The sequence below is a fragment of the Homo sapiens genome, chromosome 7 (assembly GCF_000001405.40).
Source record: "Homo sapiens chromosome 7, GRCh38.p14 Primary Assembly".
NCBI classification, from domain to species: Eukaryota; Metazoa; Chordata; class Mammalia; order Primates; family Hominidae; genus Homo; species Homo sapiens.
In genome coordinates this window covers 157,277,312-157,300,583 of record NC_000007.14, presented here as the reverse complement: position 1 = coordinate 157,300,583, position 23,272 = coordinate 157,277,312, and the positions used below count along the sequence as shown (strand labels likewise).

General features: G+C 56.2%; 1 protein-coding gene across 1 annotated transcript, besides 5 other annotated features; it reads left to right on the top strand.

The window, feature by feature from the left end:
* Positions 261-435: a silencer, noted in NCBI's record as "fragment chr7:157092843-157093017 (GRCh37/hg19 assembly coordinates)". NCBI's record gives its function as "represses an EF-1alpha promoter that drives an FKBP-Casp9 reporter gene in an ReSE screen in phorbol 12-myristate 13-acetate-treated (for megakaryocytic differentiation) K562 erythroleukemia cells {active_cell/tissue: K562(+PMA)}" and the evidence as "EXISTENCE:reporter gene assay evidence [ECO:0000049][PMID:32094911]".
* LOC124901803 (uncharacterized) lies at positions 5,476-12,344 on the top strand. Its single transcript, XM_047421169.1, has 4 exons — positions 5,476-5,548; positions 6,987-7,102; positions 7,420-7,521; positions 11,503-12,344. Exons 1-4 carry the CDS (start codon positions 5,476-5,478, stop codon positions 11,851-11,853), a joined length of 642 nt encoding a protein of 213 aa, XP_047277125.1. The 3' UTR covers positions 11,854-12,344.
* Positions 8,258-8,871: an enhancer, noted in NCBI's record as "H3K4me1 hESC enhancer chr7:157084407-157085020 (GRCh37/hg19 assembly coordinates)". NCBI's record gives its function as "activates a minimal SCP1, AML or CMV promoter by ChIP-STARR-seq in naive H9 embryonic stem cells {active_cell/tissue: H9 hESC(naive)}" and the evidence as "EXISTENCE:reporter gene assay evidence [ECO:0000049][PMID:30033119]".
* Positions 10,152-10,757: an enhancer, noted in NCBI's record as "H3K4me1 hESC enhancer chr7:157082521-157083126 (GRCh37/hg19 assembly coordinates)". NCBI's record gives its function as "activates a minimal SCP1, AML or CMV promoter by ChIP-STARR-seq in naive H9 embryonic stem cells {active_cell/tissue: H9 hESC(naive)}" and the evidence as "EXISTENCE:reporter gene assay evidence [ECO:0000049][PMID:30033119]".
* Positions 10,758-11,365: an enhancer, noted in NCBI's record as "H3K4me1 hESC enhancer chr7:157081913-157082520 (GRCh37/hg19 assembly coordinates)". NCBI's record gives its function as "activates a minimal SCP1, AML or CMV promoter by ChIP-STARR-seq in naive H9 embryonic stem cells {active_cell/tissue: H9 hESC(naive)}" and the evidence as "EXISTENCE:reporter gene assay evidence [ECO:0000049][PMID:30033119]".
* Positions 17,633-18,586: an enhancer, noted in NCBI's record as "H3K27ac-H3K4me1 hESC enhancer chr7:157074692-157075645 (GRCh37/hg19 assembly coordinates)". NCBI's record gives its function as "activates a minimal SCP1, AML or CMV promoter by ChIP-STARR-seq in primed H9 embryonic stem cells {active_cell/tissue: H9 hESC(primed)}" and the evidence as "EXISTENCE:reporter gene assay evidence [ECO:0000049][PMID:30033119]".

The window sequence follows — 23,272 nt, the reverse complement described above, 5'->3', positions numbered from 1 at the left end:
TCCCAGGGAGAGCTGCGTCTTCTCCTTTCCACACAGGCTCTGGTGCAGCTCCGGAGAGCAGGCTGGACACGTGGCGGGCGGGCTGGACGCGTCCTCCCCTTGGGACAGGAGTCCTACTCACGTTGTCGTCCAACCAAACAGCAAACAAAGCAAAACAAAAAACAGCTGGAACCTTACGGGGCCCCTAAAATGGCAGCAGAGACTCGTAGAAGCCGATCATCTGAGTCATTCCTCATTTCTCTAAGGGGTGCTTGCCCATGGAACGATGCCACCCTGAGTGAGTTGCCACATCAGCGCATCCTGGCAGGTTCCAGAGCCGTGCACGCCGCGCCCTGCAGAGCCCTGCTCAGGAATGCGCGTGGCAGGCGGTTCGCAGGGCTGCAGACTGGAGGCGGCTGAGCCTGGAATCTTCCTCCGTCCCGAGGAGCAAACCCCGGGCTCCCCCGCCCCGGACTCCTGGCCCCCGCCACGCTCAAGGCAGCCTCTGGGGCCTCGGCTGTGTGGGAAGCCACCCCCAAAGGCGACCTGCGGCCTGATGCCACTCACAGAGCACAGCGGAAATGACAGAATCTCAGACGTGGAGGGCGGCGCCGCCGGCAGGGTTAGAGCAGGGCGGAGGGTCCCACGTGGGGAGGGTCCCACGTGGGGAGGGGTGCTGGGTGCAGGGCGGGGCGGAGCCGCTCCTGTAGAGGGAGCTTGTGAGCACCCATGGGTGGTGGAGTCGTAGAGAACTAGAAGCCTCTGCACACACCACACACCACACACCACACACACCGCACAACACACACACCACACACCATACACACAGCACAACACACCACACACACCGCACAATACAAACCACACACACCACACACATCACACACCACACACCACACACACCACACAACACACCGCACACACCACACAACACACCACACACACCATACACCACACCACACACACCACACACCACACACACCACACACACCACACCACACACACAACACACCACACACCACACACACCACACCACACACCACACACACCACACACCAGACAACGCACACCGCACACCACACACCACACACACACCACATACCATGCACACACCACACACCACCCAGCATATCACACACTACCCATGACACGCCACACAGCACACACACACCACATGCCACCCAGCACACACAAACATACACAACACATGACACACCACACATAGCATACACACATCATATCACACACACCACACACAACACACCACTCCACACACACCACACACACAGCACACCACACATCACACACCAGCCAGCACACAAACACAACACGCCACACACAACACAACACACATTACACAGCACACACACACCAGGCAACACCACACACCACCACACAACACACACCACACAACACAATACACCACACACTACACACCACACACACCACACACATATCACACCCACACACACCATACACCACAGAACACACACACACCACACACCACGCAGCATTATACACCACATACCACACACTACCCAGCATGCCACACACCACACACACCACACACATATGCCACACACCACACCATACCACACCACATCACACCACATACACACACCACACCACACATACATAGAGACACATACGCAGCACACACAAGTACAAGAAACACCAGGAGGCCTGACAAGAGGCGTGGCTGTGTCTCTGTGGCCGTGCTGGCGGGAACGCCATGCGGTGATTCCGCACGACGCCACCGTGGAGGGGCCTGGGCAAAGGGCTCCGTGTGCTTTCTAGCAACCGCATGTGGACTCTTTCAATGAAAGGCTAAGAGCACAGGACCACTGTATGCGTTTCCCAGGCGGCTGTAAAATCACTGCACGTGGCTCCAAACAACAGAGGTTCCTCCTCTCACAGTCTTGGAGGCTGGGAGTGAAATTAGCGTCAGCAGAAGTGCCTCCTCCTGGAGGAAGCCTGTTCTGTGGGCGCCTCTGGCCTCTGGGGGGCGCTGGAAACCCTCGGCCCTCCCCGCTTGTGGACGCAGCCGTCCCCTCTCTGCCTGTTGTCACAGAGCCTCCTCCCTGTCCCTGTGTCTCAATTCCCTCTTCTTCTTCTTTTTTTTTTTTTTTTTTTTTTTTTTTTTTTGAGACGGAGTCTCACTCTGTTGCCCAGGCTGGAGTGCAGTGGTACAATCTCAGCTCACTGCAACCTCCACCTCCCGGGTTCAAGTGATTCTCTTGCCTCAGCCTCCTGAGTAGCTGGGATTACAGGTGCCCGCCACCACGCCTGGCTAATTTTCGTATTTTTAGTAGAGATGGGGTTTTGTCATGTTGGTTAGGCTGGTCTCAAACTCCTGACCTCATGATCTGCCCGCCTCCGGCTCCCAAAGTGCTGGGATTACAGGTGTGAGCCACCGCACCCAGCCATTTCCTTCTTCTTCTAAGAACACGATTTGGGGCCCACCCTAATCCAATACAACCTCTTCTTAACTAATTACACAGACACCAACCCTGCTTCCTAAAACGCAGAGGCACTGGGCCTTCGGCGCATCTTTTGGGGGACAATTTAACGCACAACAACCCATGTGAAGCTCATCTGCACCCACAGGGTGGCCCACGGCCCTTCAAGGCTGTCTGAACGCATCCCCACCCTGGCACCTGCAGCTGAGGGGCTCCTCACAGCGGACCTCAGCCCCTGGACGTGGCTGCCTCACTCTAAGATTTGGAAGTTCCTGAACACAGCAAGCCTTGTGGGTGAACAACAGGAGTCCTCCAAGGTAAGAAATGAAATATACGGGCTGTTCAAATGAATGAGACACAAGCTCCTGTAAATGTTCCTGAATTTATAGTGGTTTTGGAGTCCCTCAGAATTTTCTCTTTCAATAAATAACAAAATTATAACCATGACCAGTTGAGAGGACATGATAATCTCTTGATGTTAAACGTGGTTCTCGTACTCAAAATATGGAACTACCATGTTGACTGTATCTAACACCTTCAAAGGTTAAATACGATGTATGCTATAAACATCTTAGCAGGATGACCGGGCATTTGGAGGTGGGGTCTGAGGGCCTGGAGCCCATGACCGTGACCTATGACCCATCCAACCCACCATCATGGCCTTCGCTTGCCAGGCAGTGACCTCGGACCGACGGTACCTCTTCAGCCTGAGCATCTGGACAAGAAACCCTGATGGATCAGATGACACAGATCTTACATAACACAGGGAGTTTCTTCCTTAATCAAATACCCCGCCAGGAAGAGGTGCGTGTGTCCAAATCACCGGGGATATTCTCGCCCGTCAGAGCCACAGGAGGCTTTCCGCTGGATTATGTGTCTTTGTTTTTGGCTTATCAGAAACTTCCTCTGAAATCACTGGGGAATTCAGAGCCTAGGATGGGAGACGGAGAAACAGTGTTCCCCTAGGGGAATTCCCTGAGATTGGGTTATCCCCTCCTGAGAGCAGCATGGCAATCGATAACCTGAATTAGTGAAAGAAATGAACGGAAAATAAAGATCTGCTGTTCAGGCGGGGCGCAGTGGCTCACGCCTGTAATCCCAGCACTTTGGGAGGCCGAGGCGGGTGGATCACTTGAGGTCAGGAGTTCGAGACCAGCCTGGCCAAAAAGGTGAAACCTCCACTAAAAATACAAAAACTTAGCCAGACATAGTGGCAGGCGCCTGTAGTCCCAGCTACTCAGGAGGCTGAGGCAGGAGGATCACTTAAGCCCGGGAGGCGGAGGTTGCAGTGAGCTGAGATTACACCACTGCACTCCAGCCTGGGTGACAAAAAATAAAATAAAATAAAATAAAATAAAATCCGCTGTTCTCCCAAGGAGGGAAACACAAGGTGAAAGTGGTTGGGGGAGGCCAGGCGTGGTGGTTCACGCCTGTGATCCCAGCACTGTGGGAAGCTGAAGTGGGCGGATCACCTGAGGTTGGGAGTTCGAGATCACCCTGACTAACATGGAGAAACCCCCGTCTCTACTAAAAGTACAAAATTAGTCAGGCATGGTGGCGCATGCCTGTCATCCCAGCTACTTGGGAGGCTGAGGCAGGAGAATCGCTTGAATCCAAGAGGCAGAGGTTGCAGTGAGCTGAGATCGCGCCACTGCACTCCAGCCTGGGCAACAAGAGTGAAACTCCGTTTCCAAAAAAAAAAAAAAAGAAAGAAAGAAAGAAAAAGGCCAGGCGTGGTGGCTCAGGTCTGCAATCCCAGCACTTTGGGAAGCTGAGGCAAGTCGATCACATAAGGAGTTCAAGACCAGCCTGGCCAAGATGGTGAAACCCCGTCTGTACTAAAAATACAAAAATTAGCCGGGTGTGGTGGCGCATGTCTGTAATCCCAGCTACTCTGGAGGCTGAGGCAGGAGAATCACTTGAACCTGGGAGGTGGAGGTTGCAGTGAGCCAAGACCGTGCCACTGCCCTCCAGCCTGGGCAACAGAGTGAGACTCCATCTCAAAAAAAAAAAAAAAAAAAAAAAAGGCAGGGGGTTGGAAGAAGACAGCGTGGGGTAGGGAGGACGGTGGAGTCCAGGACCCCGTTCCAGCCCCAGCTGCAGGGAGGACGGTGGAGTCCAGGACCCCGTTCCAGCCCCAGCTGCAGGGAGGACGGTGGAGTCCAGGACCCCGTTCCAGCTCTGGCCGCAATCCTCGAGGCTGGGTGATATTCACATCCTTCACTCTCTCTTCACCTCAAGTCTTTGTTGTAAACTGAGAATAACCCTTTACTCATTTCACAGATATTTTTCTTGGGACTTTCACTGTGCAGGGCTTCCATAGGGATGTTGGGGTTCAATGGTTCACCAGGTGCCCACCACGGTCTCGCAGGCTGGAGGGACTCTTGAAGACTGAGTTAAGGGAAGTGGGAGTCCTGCACCCGCCCCAGAACTGGAAGGGTTCCCACTGGCTCTGGTTATGTTGTCTTAAAGCAATGGTGGCAGAGCTCTCTGAGGGCTCCGGGAGACGGGGCTCTGTTGGGAGGCTCTCCTCTCCTGAAGTGAAGGCAGATGCTGGCCGGGGCTCCCCCAGGATACCCGCTCGCAGGCCTGGCACTGGCTGCTGGGGGCCGGGCTGGCATCACATGCCTCCCCGGATGACTGGGGCTTCTCCCACCATAAGGGCTGGGCTCTAGGGGAGGGTCACCGCTGTTCAGAATCTGGTCCTCAGCTTAAAATACCCTCAGACTCCACTGTGTGGGGCAGGGCTCCCAGAAGAAAGCAGGCGTCCCCGCTTCCCTAGCCAGGGAGTCTGAGCCACTCTCGGCCACCACAGTCCAAGAATCACGGTGTCCTTGCTCTTCCTCACAGGCTGCTCCCTCTGCCTGGGGTCCCCTCCCTCCCTTCCCACCACGGCCTGTCTGTCCCCCCATTACCACTCCCTGGCTAAACCCCTCTACTTTTTCAGAGTTCAGTCTAAATAATGATCATTTCTGTAGGTTGGGTTCATCCTCATGGCACGCTGAAACCCATGCATCTCCTGCGTGGCATTCCCACGATGGCGACTGAACCCTGCTTGTGGCACTCCAGGCTCAGTGGCTGGCAGCCGTGCAGGTCCAAGCCTGGGTCCCGTATCAGCTGTGCAACTCAGACAGTCGCTGGCACACAGCAGGTGCTCAGCACAGGCTTGTCTGCTGGAAAAGAATGAAGGTACAACCACACAAGTGAGTAGGGGCTAATCGAGTCACCCTGGAGGCTCCTCTACAAGCCAGAGACCATCGCTAAGCTTACAACTGGCAAGAGAAATTGCAGCCAAGGCCAGGTGAGGTGGCTCATGCCTGTAATCCCAGCCCTTCGGGAGGCCAAAGCGGGAGGATAACCTGAGGTCCGGAGTTCAAGACCAGCCTGGCCAACGTGGTGAGACCCCCGTCTCTACTAAAAATACAAAAAAAAATTAGCCTGGCATGGTGGCAGGCGCCTATAGTCCCAGCTACTCAGGAGGCTGAGGCAGGACAATCACTTGAACCTGGGAGGCGGAAGTTGCAGTGAGCTGAGATCATACCACTGCACTCTAGCCTGGGCAACAGGGTGAGACTCTGGCAAAAAAAAAAAAAAAAAAAAAAAGGCAGCCAAATGAAAGATTTTTTTTTTTTTTTAATTTTGAGATGGAATCTCACCCTGTCACCCAGGCGGGAGTGCAGTGGCACAATCTCAGCTCACTGCAACCTCCGCCTCCTGGGTTCAAGTGATTCTCCTGCCTTAGCCTCCTGAGTAGCTGGGATTACAGGCGTGCTCCACTGCATCTGGCTAATTTCTGCATTTTTAGTAGAGATGGGGTCTCACCACATTGGCTAGGCTGTTCTCGAACTCCTGGCCTCAGGTGATCTGCCCGCCTCGGTCTCCCAAAGTGCTGGGATTACAGGCGTGAGCCACTGTGCCCAGCCACAATTGAAAGTTTTTGTTTTTGTTTTTGTTTTTTTGAGATGGAGTTTCACTCTCGTCACCCAGGCTGGAGTGCAATGGCGCGATCTTGGCTCACCACAATCTCTGCCTCCCTGGTTCAAGCGATTCTCCTTCCTCAGCCTCCCAAGTAGCTGGGATTACAGGCATGCACCACCACGCCGGGCTAATTTTGTATTTTTAGTAGAGATGGTGTTTCACCACGTTGGTCAAGCTGGTCTTGAACTCCTGACCTCAGGTGATCCGCCTGCCTCGGCCTCCCGAAGTGCTGGGACTACAGGCGTGAGCCACCGCGCCCGGCCCCAGTTGAATGGTCTTAATGGCTCTTTTTGCAATTCTAGAACCAGGCACAGATCATTCTATAAAACAGAACGAGGGCTCTGGCGTGCTGGGTAGAGGAGGTTGGTTTTGTAGACAGAAAGGGGCTGAGGAAGCAGACACAGAACAAAAAGCAGATCGGTCATTTCCAAGAGGTTTTCCTTGGAAGGTTCCAGCAGAGGGGACTTCCTCATCATGCCGGCAAGACCTGGCTTGTTTGGGGCTATTCTCTGTCTCCTGGTTTCCTGGAAGGTGAGATGAACAAGTTAGTTTTGGCTTGATGACGTGGAGCTCTAGCACGAGTGGCTGCGTTTTGGTCTGTTCTGCCAGGCCTCCTGCAGGAGCTCAGGCCAGACCAGTGGCCTCCTACGAATTTTATCAAACGCGACTCAGACGATGCCGTTCAGGTGAGTGGAACGTGCACAGCGCTGCTCCCCAACTCCCTGTCCGACTTCTAAATCTCTGCACTTTCAGCCTAAACGTCTGGAGATCCGGAGAACAAGTCCTCCAAGGCGGGGTCTCCCTGAGATGGCCCCTGCAGCTGGGCAAAAGGTCCCTCCAGACCACGTGGCCCTTGTGTTGGGAGCGGAGACTCATCAGGGCGGGGAGGGCCTGAGACCGTGGGAGCAGAGGCTCGGCCGGGCAGCAGCTCTCCCTGCCCTCAGGGGGCCATGAGCTCCGCAGGCCCCAGAGCCCTGTGTGCACTTTTCACGCTTTTTCTCAGGCAAGGTTGAGAACCAAGCCCAGCACTGCCTGGTCCAGCCCCTGGGAAGGAAGGCAGGGCCGGGAGCCCCTCCTGCCGCCAGCAGCGACCCTGTCTCGGAAGGTACGTGCATCCTCCGTCCCCGCCGAGGATCTTTAGGTCTCACCTGGGGCCTCACCGGGCGCTGGGAGGGGCTGGGCCCTGGGCCTGCAGCCAGCAAAAGGTGGGGTTTGGGCTGGAACTGGGAATCCCCGTGGGCGGCCGCGCCCTGTCTGCCCCTTCACGCTGAGTCAGGGCCGGGAAGGCCAGGCCCACCCAGGGACGGGCTGTCTACGGCTCCCCTGTCCGCCCCAGCCCTCGCTGCCCTGATAGGGTGAGGCTGTGTCCTGGAGCCTGACCCAGTTCCGCCTGCCCCCGGCCTCTTCACTGGAGAGGATCAGGGTCAGGGTGCCTGGCCCACAGAAGCATGTCCAGCTCCACGCGGACACACGGGCCCTTGGTGCCCCCTCTAGAACTCCACGGTCCTGGCCTCCCCCAGGACCAGGCGAGGCCAGGCCCACTGCAGAGCTGCGTGTGCACACACCAACACACACATACATGTGTAACACATCCACACACATTCACACAGATACACACACCCTCCCGCACATATACATATACACACACGTGTAACACACCCACTCACACACCCACACACATTCACACAGATACACACACCCTCCCACACATATACATACACACACACAACACACATATTCGCACAGATACATACACCTACATTACATGTACATACATACACATGTACACACATACATACGCACAAGCAACGCTCACAGGTGCACAGGTGCACACGCTCAGTGAGCTCTCCCGGTGCTGTTGTTCACTAAAGGTTTGGGAAGGAGAAGTCTGGGTGGCAGCAAGGAAGGGACCTTAAACTGCGACACGATTTCTCCGAGGTCCTTGAGAACAGAACAGTCAGCAGGACAGGGGAGCCCTTCAGGGCCCAGGCAGCCGAGGCAATGGTCACTCATCTGTCTTTTTGGAAGCGCTCTCTGCCTCTACATGGACACGAGGAATCCATCCTTTCCTTCTTGACCCACACGGAGCCAAGGAGGGGTCTCCCTGAGTTGGTCCCCTGTAGCTGGGCCAAAGGTCCCTCCAGACCACATGACCCTTATGTTGGGAGTGGAGAATCATCGGGGCGGGGAGAGCCTGAGACTGCGCTGCTGCTGGCATTGCTGTGCTATGTGACGCCAGCCCGGGGCCCTCCCGGGTCTGCAGGCTCCAGCCTCTTGCGTGGAGACCACACTCTGCTTGTCCTGCCACGGCGGGTGGGAGGCCACTGGCCTTTGTCTTTGCTCCCAGAGCCCAGCTGGTAACACCCTTGACTTGCTCTTGGAGCCCACGTTTGCACTTTAGTGTTGAGTGATGCCAAACGCTCCTCCAGGCGCGCGGTCTCTGAAGGCCTGGCTGGAGCCCCCATCCTCCCCCATCTGCCCTGCGACCCCCCTCTGCACCCTGGCGCCCAGGTGAACACACGGCCCCCACACGCAGCCTCAGACACTGCCCTGGCCTCCTCCCCACCGCCCTCCTGCCACACCCCTGCTGGCAGGCCCCTCTGTGACCTCGGGCGGCCCGTCCCCCGGCTGGGATTCCTCCTCTGCAGAGCAGGGGCGCAGTGTCCTCCGCGGCAGTCCAGCTTCCGGCCAAGGCCCCCCGGAGTGGATTTCCAAAGCGAAATTGCCCTCCTCCTCCCCTGCCCTCCACTGGCCTCACCCCCTCCTCCGATTTTTTTTTTTTTTTTTTGAGACGGAGTCTCGCTCTGTCGCCCAGGCTGGACTGCAGTGGCGTGATCTCGGCTCACTGCAAGCTCCGCCTCCCGGGTTCACGCCATTCTCCTGCCTCAGCCTCCTGAGTAGCTGGGACTACAGGCGCCCGCCACCGCGCCCGGCTAATTTTTTGTATTTTTAGTAGAGACTGGGTTTCACCGTGTTAGCCAGGATGGTCTCGATCTCCTGACCTCGTGATCTGCCCGCCTCGGCCTCCCAAAGTGCTGGGATTACAGGCGTGAGCCACTGCGCCCGGCCCCCTCCTCCGATTTTCATCTGCTTTCACTTGGGGATCATGGTCTAAATTTTCACTTCTTGATTTTTTAAAAAATTGTGGTAAAGTTCATCTAACATAACATAAAATGCACCATCTCAGCCGTCTTCAAGCGCACAGTTCGGTGGCATGGAGCACGTTCGCACTGATGTGCAGCCATCACCTCCATCGTCCGCAGAACTTTCCATCTTCCCAAGCTGAATCTCTGTCCCCATGAAACGCTGACTCCTGTCCCCCGGCACCCCCACTCTTCTTCCTGTCTCCAGGGGTCTGAGAACTCTAGGAGCCGCATACACGGGGTCCTGCAGCGCCTGTCCCTCTGTGCCCGGCATTAGGTCCTCAAGGTGCGCCAGTGGTGGAGCAGGGACGGGGTTTCCTTCCTGCTGAGGCGGAACGATTCAGAATCTGTTCTAACTCTTCTTCCTCTGTCATTTTTCTGGACCTTGAATGGCAGAACCGCACCCCCTGGAAGGGCCCCCGGCACCCCTGCGCCTCCCCATCCCCATGCAGGCGACTGGTTCTTCCCCCAGGCTCCAGGGCTGTGAAACCAGCGCAGAGCTCCTGCTCTCAGGCTGTGTGCGTGGCCAAGAGTAACTGGGAAGCAACCGGAGCTGCACGGGTCACCCACTCGCTGCACTGGGCCGTGCAGGGATCGCCGTGTCCTAGGGGCAAAGCCTTGGCCCCACTCACAGGTGCATGGACGGTCCCCAGGACCTTTCCCTCTTCCTTCACCTGGAGGGGCCTTGGGCCACTGTGCTCACTTCCAGCCACCTGGGGGTGGCCCCAGCCCCCCCCCAGCCCCCGCAATCCTCCCAGCGCCCCCAGTCCTCTCCCCTGCCCCGAGTCTCCATGCAGCCTTGAGGCCCTGCCTCCCGGCCCAGGTGAGCACAGTCTGTGCTGTTCCTTCCCAGAACACATTTGCATGGTGCCCTGGGCACCAAAGCCCTGGGGAAGGCAGATGACTCCAGGAGGGGCTGGTGGTGCTGTTTGCAGCCACGGAAGGGTCAGATGCGGCCCCAGATGAGGCAGCGTCGGGGACAGAGGCAGCCCTGGCTTGAAAAGCTGAGCTGCAGAGTGTGCACCCCCCCCCACCCCCAAACACACACACACGCTTGTCCTGGGCCTGCCTCCTGACGCACCAGGCAAGCCTGACTGCCCCGCCTGACTCACTCCCTTCCCCTTAGGCCTCCACCTGGCTCCTGCCTTCCCACACACAGGCCCACACTGTGCTTGAGCCCCTTCCTCGGTCATCCCTGGGTGCCCCCATGCCCCCTGGGCAGGGCTAGAGCAGGCAGGTGCCTCCACCCAACCCCAGCCCCTGAGAAACGTCTCCCAGTCCCCTGGAGAAAACCGTCCTGACAGACCCAGCCCGCCCTCTGATCCCTCCTCTGCCCCAAGAGGCTCTCGTCATTCAGTCATTTACATGTGAGTGCGAACGAGCTGACCTTGCCATCTTGCTGAGACAGAGCCGCCTGTTCAGGGAAAGGCAGGTCCCCGGAGCAGGGAGGGAGGAGCTGGCATTTCCAGGAGAACCAGTCTGGGTGGGGCTCTGGGTGGAGGCCTCAGATCTTCCAGAGAAGCCCCAGGAGGTGACAGGCAGAGTGACAGGGATGGACGGGGCTGCCACGGGACGCCCCTGCTCCTTATGACTCTTGACTCTGCCGGGGTCTGGCTTTTTCCAGGGCTTTGCAAGCAGCAGCAGAGGCTACTCTCACTCTTGTCCCCGTGCCCCTGCGGATGGCAGTCGTGGGGAGGGACCCCAGCCAGTGCTTCTCTGAGATGTCTGTGTGAACTGAGGGAAGTCGGCTCTGTCCTGCCCCAGGCCAGCACTGACCACTCCTGGGCCTTGCTTCCAAATGTCTCCCCCAGTCCACTGCCTAACAAAAAGCTCCTCTGTAATCCAGCTCCACAGTGGAAGCCCAGTGGATCCTCTGGCTGGGAGGTGACTCTCCCTGGGCCTCTGGTATTTCTGTGTAGTTCTGACCAGAGCCTTTGTTTCAGGTTGTCTTTTCAGGGACGCTTGTACAGCAGACAGCCTTGGAAGAAAGAGAGAGAGTCTCACTCAGGAGCTCAGGACAGGTATGCTTACTGCCTGTTATAAAAGATTCGGGTTCTCTAACAACAGGGTCATCTCCTGCAATGCACACCGCTGCTTGCAGGGGTACCTCACCCTCTTCACATCCCCCCACAGGAGCTGGGGCTCAGGAGCCATGGTGCACGGACATGCTGGCCCTGACTCTGCACTACTGGGGGGTGATAAAGACCTTTGTATCTGACCCAGGAGTCTCGTGTCCTCTGCCTGCATTCATGAAACTGTGGGTGGCTACCTCGTTCATTCGCAAGGACCTGTGAAAGGAAAATAAATCTTGGGACCGCAAAGTCACTAAGCCAAAGGGAAAAGTCACACTGGGAACTGTCAGGCGAGCCTGCTCCCATTTTATTCCCAAATAAGACAGATACAGAGATTAAAAAAACAAAAAAGCCACACACCTCCCTCACAATTTGTGCACAAGGAAATTCCCCGTGGGGCTCAAGATCTTTACCCTAGAGCAGTTGTGTGGGATTTCACCCTGGCAATGTCAGTGGACAGCTTACCTTCACAGGTGCAGATGAAGGACAGAACTCAAAGCCATCCCTCTGCTCCCCTGAGACAAACGCATATCTGACTGCTTCCTCGGCCCTGTTGTCTCACTGAGCCAGACTAAGGCACACGTGGCCCTTCCCCTACCCCCTCTCACATGTGGATTGTGTATTCAGTGAAAGGCTGATCAGAGACTCATAGAATGCAACCATCTATTGCTTATCAACATTAACTGGAAGCCGCTGCTTCGAGTTGTCTCAAGTTGTCCTGCCTTTCTAGACCAAACCAATGTACATCTTACATATGTATATATTTTAATATTTATTTATTTATTTTGAGTTGGAGTCTTGCTCTGTTGCCCAGGCTGGAGTGCAATGGTGTGATCTTGGCTCACTACAACCTCCATCTCCCAGGTTCAAGCGATTCTCCTGCCTCAGCCTCCCAAATAACTGGGATTACAGGCACCTGCCGCCGCACCTAGCTGATTTTTGCATTTTTAGTAGAGACTGGGTTTCTCCATGTTGGCCGGGCTGGTCTGGAACTCTTGACCCCAGGTGATCTGCCCACCTCGGCCTCCCAAAGTGCTGGGATTACAGGCGTGAGCTCCTGCGCCCAGCCATCGTACGTGTGTTGATGATGTGTCTTGTTTCCCTGAAATGTATGAGAAGAAGCTGCGCCCTGACTACTTTGGGCGTGTGTCATCAGGACCTCCTGAGGACGTGTCACAGGCACACCTCAACCTGGGCAAAATATGCTTTCTAAATCGATTGAGGCTTGTCTCAGATACTTTTGGGTTCACGGACCACAAAAACTCAGGCCTTTCCCAAGACTCGACCCCCTTGGGGTGCACAATGTTCTCCCATGGGTTTTCTCTTTAGCATGTGGGCATGTACAGGAGGGCCTCACGCACACTTCATTCCAAGGTGCCAGTGAGTTATTGCCTCCTGAGCCAGCTGGACAAGAGCTGAGTGCTGGGTGTCTGTCTGGGGAAAGGGTCAGGGGTTCCAGAAGAGGACATGGAGGCCAGGGCACCAAGGAGACAGCTTCTGCCTCACGGTCTCGCTGACGGTCAGTGGACCCCACCCCACGGCCCTTCACCAAGACAAAAAGGAGAACTGGCCGGGCGTGGGGGCTCACGCCTGTAATCCCAGCACTTTGGGAGGCCGAGGCAGGCAGATCGTTTGAGGGTCAGGAGTTTGAGACCAGCCTGGCCAACATGGTGAAACCCCATTTCTACTTAAAATACAAAAATTAGCTGCGCGTGGTGGTGGGCACCTGTAATCCCAGCTACTCGGGAGGCTGAGGCAGGAGAATCGCTTGAACCCAGGAGGTTGAGGTTGCAGTGAGGCGAGATGGTGCCACTGCACTCCAGCCTGGGCGACAGAGCAAGACTCCATCTCAAAACAAACATACAAACAAAGGAGGAGAACGGCTCCTGCTGGACAAGCCTCTTGGGCTCCAGTAGGGAGGACGCTGTGGTTCGGAGCCCTGAGGTGGGCACAGCCCCTGGTGCCAGCCTTGCCTACAGGGGTGAGCACCACGGTACTGGACGTTACCCTGGAGCCCATACGCCATTTTCTAGTGCTTGAGTGTTTGCTACAAGCTATCTATCCTTGGAAATGCTGCTAAAACTTGATGTCCTCATTAAGCACAACTTCTTAGATCTCATAATGGTGAATAAACAGCTGGTAAATGCTGGAAATATTTTAAGAAAGATAAAGGCAATCCAGGGGCTCATGGCCAGATCTGTTTTATATACTGTTTATTATTTTTATTTTATTTTTATTACCTGTAAGAAACCTGTACATATACAGATCTGTTTTAAATAACACTGAACCACAGATTTATTATGAAATCTTTTTTTGTAAACAGAAAAGCCCCAAAAAGTTTAGTATGATTCCATCACAGAAAATGATTGACTCTTATCATGATGGTCAGTCAATATTACTTAAAAACATGAAAAGAACATGTTATAGGACAAATACAGACTAACGTATGATTGTGAGAATTTCTGATAATTCCCGGGAATTCTGATTTCTCCTTCCCCAATCCTGAGGGTGGAGCTGTGAGGAATCTGGGCTGACTGCAGGGTCCCACCTGCCAGGAACAAGAACAGCTCCTTCCCGAGGCCCGGTCGTCACTGTTTCCTGATCACCCGAAAGTGAACACCCAAAGCATGCAAGGAACACCTTTTGTTCCCAACAGGCCTGGAAAGAGCCCTGCCCGGCCTGCTGGGGAGGCGAGCTGTTCCTGCAACAGCTTGTAAGCAAAGCGTCTCAGTAAAACAAAAGCTCACTTCATATAGCTTCCCGTGTGGACAGCTACATCTTTGTTTGGTTCGTTTGTTTGTTTGGTTGATTGGTTTTGAGATAGGGTCTTGCTGTGTTGCCCAGGCTGGAATGCAGTGGTGTGATCAGAGTTCACTGTAGCCTCCAACTCCTGGGCTCAAGTGATCCTCCCACCTCAGCTTTCCGAGTTAGCTGGGGCCACAGGCACATGCCACCAAGCCCAGCTAATTTTTATAATTTTTAGTAGAGATGGGAGTCTCACTACATTGCCCAGGCTGGTTTCAAATTCCTGGCCTCAAGCAATCCTCCCACCTCGCTGGGCCTCCCGAAGTGCTGGGATTACAGGCAGGAGCCACCACACCGGGCCTGTAGCTGCATCTTTGAAGAACAAGCATTCCTGCCTTTCATCAGCCTCTGCCTCGAGCCCTGCCTTGGTGGGACCTGCAGGGAACCCCCGCCCAGAGACACCAGCCTGCAGAGCTGCACACCAGGAGTCTCCAGGTGTTTTGCACCAGACACTCCATTTATTTATTTATTTATTTATTTATTTATTTATTTATTTATTTATGACAGAGTTTTGCTCTTGTCACCCAGGCTGGAGTGCAGTGGCACAATTTCGGCTCACTGCAACTTCCACCTCCCAGGTTCAAGTGATTCTCCTGCCTCAGCCTCCTGAGTAGCTGGGACCACAGGCACCTGCCAGCATACCCGGCTAGTTTTTTGTATTTTTAATAGAGACATGGTTTCACCATGTTGGCCAGGCTGGTTTCTTTTTTTTAATTTTCATTTTTTGAGACAAACTTTTGCTCTTTCGCCCAGGCTGGAGTGCAATGGTGAGATCTTGGCTCACTGCAAGCTCCACCCCCAGGGTTCAAGTGATTCGCCTGCCTCAGCCTCCCGAGTAGCTAGGACTACAGGAATGTGCCACCACGCCAGGCTAATTTTTGTATCTTCAGTAGAGACGGGGTTTCACCATGTTCGCCGGCTGGTCTCGAACTCCTGACCTCAGGTGATCTACCCGCCTTGGCTTCCCAAAGTGCTGGGATTACAGGTGTGAGCCACCGCACCCAGCCCAGACACCCCTTTTAATAACAGTGCTTGCTTCTACACCGTGTGTGCAAAACCTCAGCCATGGCAAGGTTCTAACAAAGCACAGTGACTCCAAAATGTCCGCAGAAGTACTGCCCCCAAATTGGGAATTAATGTGCTAATAAAAACCCTAATTTATATAAAAAATCTATACTATGGTCAGGCCATATAGTAAATATTGATTAAAGAGGTCTCTGGGCTGGGAGGTACTGGGTGCACAGTTTGTCTGGTCTCTGCCGTTTGCGTGAATGCACACAGACACGGACGAGCCCCACAAGCGGCTCATCACCATGGGCCTCACCGGTCTCACCAGCTCGGCTGCTCTCCATGATGCTTTCCTGCAGAACTTCCTTCCTAGCCTTTCCCAGGAAGTAGATATAATTTTCTGAACCGAGAAAAATCAATGGAGAAATTCGTAAAACAGGAACAAGGAGTATAATTTTGCGAGAATTAGAACATAACAACTGCCGGCCATGGTGGCTCACAGTGTAATTCCAGCACTTGGAGAGGCTGAGGTAGGAGGACTGTTTCAGCCCAGGAGTTCAAGACCAGCCCTGGCAACACAGCACGACCCTGTCTCTACAAAGATTTCTAAAGATTAGCCAAGCATGGCAGAGTGTGGCCGAGTGGTTATGGCCTGCCTGTAATCCCAGCTACTCAGGAGGCCGAGGTGGGAGGATCCCTTGAGCCAACAAGGTCGAGGCTGCAATGAGCTGTGATTGCACCATTGCACTCCAGCCTGGGTGACAGAGTGAGACCCTGTCTCAAAGAAAAAAAAAACCCCCGTAACAACTAGCACAACATATATTGCTGTTGGAGTACTCCAGGGTGTCCAGTCAGGAGCTGGAGCAGGAAACGAGGCATGTGAGGTCAACATTTTGGGGTGGGAAGAGATGCTGCAGCAATCGGCCAGCCTGGCTCCAGGCTGTTGTCGGGGTGTATGTGTGCGATCCTGTGTCTGGTGCTAATGATGAGACCAAGTGCCATTGGCACCAGGGAGCCTGCATGCCTCCTGTAATGTCAGCACCAGGGACTCCTCACACCTCCTACGCTGTCCTCACCCTGTGTTCGAGGCTGCCTGCTCGGAGCCCTCAGGTGGGCGCTTCCAGCCCCTGGTGCCAGCCTTGCCTGTGGGAGTGAGCACCGTGGTACTGGACGTTACCCCGAAGCCTGTACGCCGTTTTCTAGTGCTCGAGTGTTTGCTACAAGCTACCTATCTTTGGAAATGCTGCTAAAACTTAATGTCCTTATTAAGCAAAACTTCTCAGATCTCCATAATCGTGAATAAAGAGCTTGATAAACATCGGAAGTATTTTAAGAAAGATAAAGGCAATCCAGTGGCTCATAGCCAGATCTGTTTTATTTATTTATTATTTTATTTTATTTATTTTAATTTTAATTTTTTTTTTGAGATGGAGTCTTGCTCTGTCACCCAGGCTGGAGTGCAGTGGCCCCATCTCAACTCACTGCAACCTCCGCCTCCCAGGTTCAAGCAATTCTCCTGCCTCAGCCTCCTGAGTAGCTGGGACTACAGGCGTGAGTCACTGCACCCAGCTAATTTTTGTATTTTTAGTAGAGACAGTATTTCACCATGTTGGTCTGGCTGGTCTGGAACTCCTGACCTCATGATCTGCCCACCTTGACCTCCCAAAGTGCTGGGATTGTAGGCGTGAGCCACCGTGCCTCGCCTATTTATTGTTTATTATTTTTATTTTATTTTTATTACCTATAAGAAACCTGCACGTGTACAGATCTGGTTTTTTTTTTGTTTTTTTTTTTGTTTTTGAGATGGAGTCTCACCCTGTTGCCCAGGCTGGAGTGCAGCGGCGTGATCTTGGCTCACTGCAACCTCTGCCTCCTGGGTTCAAGTGATTCTCCTGCCTCAGCTTCCTGAGTAGCTGGGATTACAGGCACATGCCACCACGCCTTGCTAATTTTTGTATTTTTAGTAGAGATGGGGTTTCACCATGTTGGCCAGGCTGGTCTCCAACTCCCGACCTCAGGTGATCCACCTGCCTCCACCTCCAAAAGTGCTGGGATTACAGGCTTGAGCCACCGCGCCCGGCCTCCAGATCTGTTTTAAATCACACTGAACCACACATTTATTATTAAATCTTCTTAAAATAGAAAAGCCCCGAAAAGTTTAGTATGATTCTATCACAGAAAATCGTTTACTCTTATCATGATGGCCAGTCAATATTACATAAAAACATGAAAATAACATGTTATAGGGCGAATACAGACTAACGTATGATTGTAAGAATTTCTGATAATTCCCAGGAATTCTGATTTCTCCTTCCCCAATCCTGAGGGTGGAGCCGTGAGGAATCTGGGCTGACTGCAGGGTCCCACCTGCTGGGAGTAACCACGGCTCCTTCCCGAGGCCCGGTCATCACTGTTTCCTGCTGATCACCCACCCCCCCAGCCCCGCCCCGGCTGTATTAGCCTCCTTGTTCATTCAACAAACATTTATTGCTGCTGGGTGAGGCCCTGACGTGCAGAGTGGGTGAGACTCGGGCCCTGCCTTCCAGGGGGACACGCAGGTGGGGCTGACAGGTGGGTACCGACAGCCGAGTGGAAGGGGTCAGGCGGGTTATCCGCCATGGCCCACGCAGCCCGGGGAACGCACCGAGGAAATCAGCCTTAAAGACAGGGAGGGGGTTCCCTGAGTGTGGGGTGGGGCAGGGATGAGGCCAGAGGGGAGACTCGTGCCTGGGGGAGGGTGTGCCTGGCATCGGTTCACAAACAGCCTCCGTGTGGCCAGGCCACCTCCCTGTGGGCCGCGTCCAGGCAGCACCGCAGAAGCTGCAGAAAATATTGAGACAGTTCCATTAGGTCACAGAGCCTGAGGCCCAGGCCGGGCTGCAGCCCTGATTCACCAGGGGCAGGTGCCAGGAGGAACCTTCAGGATGAGCAGCCGCCAGTCCCCTGGCCCAGCCCTAGCCCTAGCCCTGCAAATGCCAGGCGGCCAGCCTCTCCAGGTGAGTGGGGTCCTCGGGGTCCTCCCTGCAGGGCTACCACAGCTTTGGCCCAGATTCACCATCACAAATCCTCACAACAAACCTCCCATCTCCATGTCACAGAGGGGAAACTGAGGCACAGGAAGGGCTGAGGACAGCGTGCCCAAGATCAGGGAGTGATGAGCTGGGGGTCTCCTGGTTCCCAGCGGGGGGTTTCTGCCATTCCTCCCTGAACCCTCATGCTGTGGGGGCCCTGGGCCACCCAGCCCTGTGGCCAGAGGCTGATAGTCAGATCTTTGGCCTTCAGTGCCCGCAGAGGGGCCCGTCGGTTCCTGACTGCAGCTCACCTCTCCAGCCTCCCCGGAGGGGCCACACCCCTCGACGGTGCCACGGATCAAGGCCCAGCTAGGAATGTTCTAGAACCCACACGGCTTTTTGGTCCCCGCCTTTGTCCCCACCCTGGCCTCCCCTCCTGCATCCCTGAGATCCACAGAAGGCTGGACCTTTTGCTTTTTTTGAGGCTGCCTCTGGTGCCTCGGGCAGGAGTGGGTGGAGGGAGCGGTTTCAATCCCTTCCTGTTCTTCTCTGCCTCCCGCATGTTCCCAAGGCACACCACACTCAGGACCCGGAGGACTCTGCTGCCTGAGAAGCCGGCAGGACCCCTTGGTGCCCACAGCCTGGGCTGCCCGAGGGCCGCGTGAGCAGGTGAGGCAGAGGCTGCCAAGGAGGTTGGGGCCCGGAGCCGCTGGCAGGTGAGCCAACCCCGGCCTGCACCTCTGAACCATCTGCCCTCTGTCTCTGCAGTTCCTCAGAGGCTGGATGAGGCTGCATGACGCACTACCACACCGGCTATTTTTTTTTTTTTTTGAGTCTCACTCTGTGGCCCAGGCTGGAGTGCTGTGGTGCAATCTCGGCTCACTGAAACCTCCACCTCCTGGGTTCAAGTGGTTCTCCTGCCTCAGCCTCCTGAGTAGCTGGGAATACAGGTGCACACCACCACGCCCGGCTAATTTTTTACATTTTTAGTAGAGATGGGGTTTCACCACGTCAGCCAGGCTGGTCTTGAACTCCTGACCTCATGATCTGCCTGCCACGACCTCCCAAAGTGAGCCACCACTCCTGGCCCAATTTTTTTATTTTTGTGGAGACAGGGTCTTGCTGTGCTGTCCGGCTGGTCTTGAACTTGAGGCCCCAGGCCATCCTCCGGCCTTGGTCTCCTAACGTACTGGGATTAGAGGCCTGAGCACCTGACCCCTGGTGTTTTTGTGTGCCGGCCTTTTCTCGGGGGTCAGGCCTAAGTCCTTCGGGACAAGAGCGGGTTCTCTTCATCAGCACAGAGCTGAGTGCGGAGTCGGCACCCACCAAGGGCACAATGGGCACTCACCCTGTGCCCTGCAGCACCTGGACACCGACCCCCCGCCCGGCAGAAGTGCCCCCCACAAATCCCGGGTCCACGGGCAGGGCTCCTCTGCAGCTGATCGCCAGCAGGGTGACCCCGTGCAGAGCCTCTCTGGAGCACTGCCTCTCCCCGTCAGTCCCCAACTCCGCCTCAGGAGACTGTGCCTTCCTCCCTCCTGCCTGCCCGGCCGGGCCTCACCCAGCTGAGACTGCAGAGAAACCCCTGCCTGGCCTGGGCAGCCTTGAGGGACAGGGCTACGCTAAAACCTGCAGAGCTGGACCCCCAGCTCCCATCCTCCCATCAGGGGGAGCAGCTCCTCCCTCCGGGGTCCGGAGCTTCGCCCCAGTGACACCAAGCATCACGTCCTCCTGACCAAGGCCTTGGCCTTACACCCTGGGAGCGTCCCCCAGCTCTGGCGGCCACCACCTCTGCCTGTGCCAGGCACCTGGAGTGGTCACAGTGCTGTCACTGAAGGACTGAGCACGCCGGAACACCTTCCCGGGCGGCTCCCCCTTTCTGGAAGGGACACTCCTGGCTGAAGGTGTCCATGACCAGGCCCTGTGCTCATGGTACCAAGGAGGCCACGGAGACAGAGGAGGGCCCACCTCAGCCCCCGCCGGGTGTGCACCTGTCGGGGAGGTGGGGCGAGCTGAGGACCTGCTCAGCTCCTTCCTGAGGACACCCCCGAGGACCCTCGTGCATCTCTCATCGTCAGGGCGCTTTCCCGACAGCCTCCATGGCCGGCAGCTCCTTTCTCAGCCAAGCTGGAAGCATGCAGGGCGGAACCTTCTGGTACCCTGTGCCCCCTGCGGTCAGCGCTCTGAAGTCCTTGTCGGGTGGGACTGGACGGCGGCGGCCGCTCCCAGGTCAGGGCAGGAGTGGGGGCGGGGCGGGGGGCCCGGAGCAGCCGGCGTGGGGGCGACACCCACGGGCGTCCTCTGCCATCCGCGCGGCACCGTCCCGCGCAGGCCTCGCCTCCCTCCTCCGACCTCCGGCCCCCGGTGGGGACCCCCGAGGACTCTCGGGACCGCGGCTCTGGAGGGCCCGGAGGGCTGCGGGCTGGAGCGGGCGGGGAGGAGCCTTGGCTGCGGGAGCCCCGGTCCTCCCTCCGCGGACCCGTTTTCTAGGAGAGCGGCCGCCAGGCCCCCAGGGTGGCCGAGTCCGAAGCGTCCTTTGCGCGGTTCCAAGTCTCTGGAACGTGGCGGGGCCGGGCGTGGCTCTCCTTCCTTCCTGGGAGCGGCGCGGGGCCGCCTCTCGGCTCGACCCCTGGCCCCGGGGCCGTCCCAGGCCCTCCCGAATCACCTCCTGGACTCCGAGCCCTGGGCCCCGGGTCTCCTGCAGGCCTCGGGCGTCCGCCGGCCCAGCGCGGGAAATGCAAATCCCGACCCCGCACCCACAACCGCTCCCGCGGCCCTGGAGTCCCCAGAGGCTCTCCTGGGACTTCCGCCTCCCACGCCCCCTCCCGCGTCCCCGGGCCGCGCCCCTCAGGCCTGTCCGTCCAGCCCGTCCCGGAAGCCCGGGCCCCGCAGGGATTTGCGCGTTCTCACTGTTTACTGGGCGAGCGGACGAATACGGAAATGAAGTGGGCCTCGTGCTGGGTTCGGTGTGGGCACGGGTGACCCAGGTATACAGCCAGCGCATACTGTCCGTGTGTCCGAGGGGTCAGGCCCTGGGAGGATCTGAGCCCAGGGTCCCACGGAGGAAACTCGCCCACAGCAGCCAGCCCCGTGGCTCAGCCTCACTCCCAGCACGTGGGGAGGCTGAGGCAGGAGGTGGCTCAAGGCCAGTTCAACACCAGTCTGGGCAACACAGCCAGACCCCGTCTCTACAAAAAAAGAAAAGAGAACAGCCCAGGTCAGCTGCTGCTGGACCAGCGGGGCTCCGTGGCATCACCGAGGAAGCAGAGGGCAGGCTCACAGGCGAGGGGGGTGGGGCGATGCAGACCCAGCCAAGGCCTATTGCACCCCAGGAGCGGGACCAGGGGAGGAGGGTCCCCGAGCCCCTGAGGGGCTTTGCTCCAGCGATGCTGACATTGAACTTTGGCCTCCAGAACTGGGACACAGTGTGTTTCTGTGTTGTCGGCCTCCAGAGCCCAGCCTTGGCTGCTAGCATCTCTCAAACACGTGTCGAAGAACCAGACCCTCCTTCCGCTCTACAGATCTCCTGAGCTCAATGGGTCCTCCTGCCTTGGCCTCCCAAAGTGTTGAGATTACAGGCGTGAGCCACTGTGCCCAGCTGCAATCTCCATTCTAAAGGAACAGGAGCTTCCACCCACACGAGGGTTCCCTGCTTCCCCTGGAGGGGGGGCGGGCATCTGAGTTGGATGGGAGCTGACAGCGTCAAGATGGGCCCAGGCTGCCCATCTGGGGGTGGCCTGGCTGTGGGGCTAGGGTGGTGGCCCTGGTGTGGTGCCCACCTGTGGGCCTGTCTGTCTGGGACAGAGCCTCTGACATCCCTGCAGATCCCTTGCACTGTCTGAGGGTGCGCCCCCACCCTAGGCTCTGCCCTTCCCTGAATGAGACTCCAGGCACCCACCTGAGGGTAAGCAGCTTCCCCAGGTGACCTAAGCCAGTGACAGCCCTCATTCAAGGGTCCCCTAAGGCAAGTGTTTTGTCCTTGTCTCCTGTCCCCAAAGGCTCCTGCACACTGGAAGCCCATGGCAGCTCAAGGGGTGACCTGGGGAGGGGGACACCATCGCCCCTCACCCTTTCAGGAGTAAATCAAGTCCCCATCCCCCTGTGAAAAGCAATTCCAGGCCCCTAGAAACCTCCTTGAAAAGAAGTCACTTCGGCTCAGTATGGTGGCTCACACCTGTCATCCCAACACTTTGGGAGGCCAAGGCGGGCAGATCACTTGAGGTCAGGAGTTCAAGACCAGCCTGGGCAACATGGTGAAACCCCGTCTCTACAAAAAATGCAAAAATTAGCTGGGCACGGTGACACGCACCTGTCATCCCAGCTATTCGGGGGGCGGAGACAGGAACATCGCTTGAGTCCAGGAGATGGAGGTTGCAGTGAGCCCAGATCGCACCACTGCACTCCAGACTGGGCGACAGAGGGAGACCCTGTGTCAAAAAATAAAACAAAATAAAAATAAAGGAGGTCACTTAACACATTCCTTGGGGGGCCACCAAGCACTGGGCAGAGCGAAAGTCCAGCGGTCTCGCTGCTCTGTATGTGGCAACCTGCACTCAACACTCATCACTAGAAAATGAAATGAAAAAACTCAGACACACAGCACAGATGCCCAGATCTTTTGATATTAGATTCAACAGACATGGAATTACTGAGCATGACAGACGCTCACTTTCCATTCTGTGCAGACGATGGCACAGATGGGCAGCCGGCCAAGGACTGCCCCCAGCAGCCCGGCAAGGGGAGGGGAGAGGAGACACAGCCTCTTCCTCAATGTGTGTGCCTTCCGGGGATCCAGGGCCCAGAGCCGGCCATGAGTG